At 40.6% G+C, this 2,679-nt stretch overlaps 3 annotated features.

Moving 5' to 3' along the window:
• Positions 1,330-1,624: a silencer, noted in NCBI's record as "tiled region #8262; HepG2 Repressive non-DNase unmatched - State 23:Low". NCBI's record gives its function as "represses a minimal TATA promoter and a strong SV40 promoter by Sharpr-MPRA in HepG2 cells {active_cell/tissue: HepG2}" and the evidence as "EXISTENCE:reporter gene assay evidence [ECO:0000049][PMID:27701403]".
• Positions 1,330-1,624: an enhancer, noted in NCBI's record as "tiled region #8262; K562 Activating non-DNase unmatched - State 24:Quies". NCBI's record gives its function as "activates a minimal TATA promoter and a strong SV40 promoter by Sharpr-MPRA in K562 cells {active_cell/tissue: K562}" and the evidence as "EXISTENCE:reporter gene assay evidence [ECO:0000049][PMID:27701403]".
• Positions 2,021-2,220: an enhancer, noted in NCBI's record as "active region_7762". NCBI's record gives its function as "activates an Ori minimal core promoter by ATAC-STARR-seq in GM12878 lymphoblastoid cells {active_cell/tissue: GM12878}" and the evidence as "EXISTENCE:reporter gene assay evidence [ECO:0000049][PMID:35858748]".

Below are 2,679 nucleotides of genomic sequence, written 5' to 3'. Positions count from 1 at the left end.
GCAGGCGGAGCTTGCAGTGAGCCGAGATCATGCCACTGCACTCCAGCCTGGGCAACAGAGCAAGACTCCATCTCAAAAAAAAAAAAAAAATAGCACAAAGACTGCAATTAGCTAAAAGATGCAAAATATATTTAAATTCATGACTTCATAATTTTTTTAAAAAAACTCAGTAGTTATCTTCAAATATTTTTCATTATTGAAAACAGACAAATTAAGGGAGAGAATCAAGCACCTATCCTGTCTTCCCCATTAGAAACAGCTCTGAATAACATAACGGTCAATCAGGGAAAGTTTCTCTTTATAGAAGTTATTATTCTGGCTAATAAATGAAGAAGTAACATAGACTAACACCATTTAAAAAATCCCTAATGAATTAACAGAGAACCATATTAATTAATGCCACAAGGATACAATTGACAAAATCCAAACTGTGGGAAACCTTGGCTTATTCAACAGATAAATTGAAAGGACTACATAACAAGAGGTGGAAATAGAACTTATTAATTAATAAAGACTTAGGAACATATCCACTAGTCACAAGATTTCCAGTGATCTCACAAATATAATTTTTAAAGTTTGGTTTATTTGAATCCCGTTTCAAAGAAACTGAACTTTAAAAATTGTATTTATGAGACCACTGGAAATTTGAATACCGAGTTCTCTAATCAGCAGAAACAGATCTAATCAGCAGAAATGGATACTGAAGATTATTCTGAAAATACAGCCCATAAGGAGTTTGCAGAAATCCTTGGGAGGGTAATAGACTTCCCATGATCTATGGGAGGGCTATTGCAGTTCCAAAAGCTTATGTCTAGGTCCTTCCACCCCATAAGCCCTAATACATGCATTAATCACCCTTTTTCACCCTAAGTGACCAAATAACTGATCTGAGGAAGCACCCAGGAGGCTTGGGATATACTCCTGATTGTCATTAGTTACCACATGACTTACGACCGGCACTCAATTTATTTGGTCCTCAGTTACCACATTGGTACAATGAGAATAGCTTCAGGTTCTAAACATGACAATGATTCTATTCTAACTCGTGGTGTTGTGAATTGGTGCAAGGGGTGGGTAACCAGCAGCGAGCAGACTGAAACTCACAAATAGGTCCGCAGGTGATGTGTCCTTTCTTGTGTTGGCATCCCCAGAGAGGCGGACTATGGCCAGAGCAGCGACAAACACACTGAGGGGCCTTGCGGCAAGGGAGACATCCCACTTCCTGTTGTTTTCCATCGTTATAGGAGTGGGGTCTGTCTCTGAATTACAGCCTCTTGGTGTGAGAGCAGTCTGAGAAAATCAATATTTTGGGCTCAGCTACTAAGCTGCCTGAGCTTAGGTTCTAGCTGTTTAGGGGATTGCTAGGAAATGCCAGAGGCTCAGCACCTGGAGGCTTTAGGGGTCCTAAACCTGTGGGAAGTTAGTTTGAGACAGCCACTCCCACTGGAGAAAGGAATGTCCCTGGTCCTATGAGAACTTGTAGCCTCTCCTAGGAGAGGTGGGGCTTTCAGGCTACCTTGGTTGCCAGGCAACCCAGAGAAAGCTCTCAGGCCAGGGTAATTTACATACTCATTCTGCTTGTCTCCACAATTAGGTATCTATGTGGGTAATTTACTTAAACAAAGTTTGACATTTATTCATATTGTTACCAAGCAAAAGGCCTTGCTGCCTGAAGTGCTAGAAACCAATACTATGACACTGGGGTTTTGAGAAAATAAAAGCTTTTTATTGTAGGTCGACCAACAAGGGGACAGAAGTTCAGCTCAAATCTGTCTCCTTGTGCTGACTTTAAGGCAGTATTTTTATTAGAAAAGGGTTAGGGGTGGATTCTGAGATTAACTGGTGATTGGTGGAAGGAAAGGGGAGATCCAGAAAATCCTTGGCACACACAGTTATCTCTGCACGCTTCCTCATGGGTCACATGTTGCAAATTTGGGGGAAGTTAGTGTGAAACATGCAGTGGAAATTTGGGTTGTGACATCAGCAAGCTCGTTCTGCACTGACTCCATTTGGCCATATTGGTTCCAACTGATTTCAGCTAGGTTTGTTATGTTGCAAGCAGAGGGAGTTTCCGCATTTCAGCAAGTTTTTTCTTTTCTTATCTAGTCACTGGTTTCTTTAACTGTTTGGGTCACAGTTTCAATAATACAAAATGTCTTGAGTTTCTAGCATGAGAGAGGAACAAGAGACACAGCAATGAAGAGGCCAGATGGCTCATGGAATTTTCATTCTAGACTATGACATCTCCAAAGTGTCTATAATTTTCTATTCATTTCCCTATGTTTGCTGTAATGCTTTGCCCTAAAGATACAAAAGGGTATGGATTCTTCACTGCATTTTCTCTTATCTCTATCTCTCTGTAACATTTCTTCTTCTGTAAAGGGAACAGATTGGAATTGACAGACTCTAAGGATCTTTTCAGGGCAGAAGTCTTGTTATATGAACGTTACGGTAATTAAAAAGACACCTGGGAAAGAGTCATATGAAAACTGAACTCAGAAGGAGAGCCCTAGGTGGAGGACAATGGGGAACTGGAATTTCTTTGCCCTGATTTCAGAAGCTTCCAGTTGTTTCTGAGATAGCTCTTGAAAAATTGCTGTTAACCTGGTACTCTCTAGTCATAAACATGCTCAGACTTAGGAAGTAGAGTCACAGATGAGGTTCCACAAAATTATAGCG

This window comes from Homo sapiens, chromosome 13, assembly GCF_000001405.40.
Source record: "Homo sapiens chromosome 13, GRCh38.p14 Primary Assembly".
In the NCBI taxonomy this organism is placed as follows: domain Eukaryota; kingdom Metazoa; phylum Chordata; class Mammalia; order Primates; family Hominidae; genus Homo; species Homo sapiens.
This window is presented reverse-complemented; position numbering and strand designations above follow the sequence as displayed.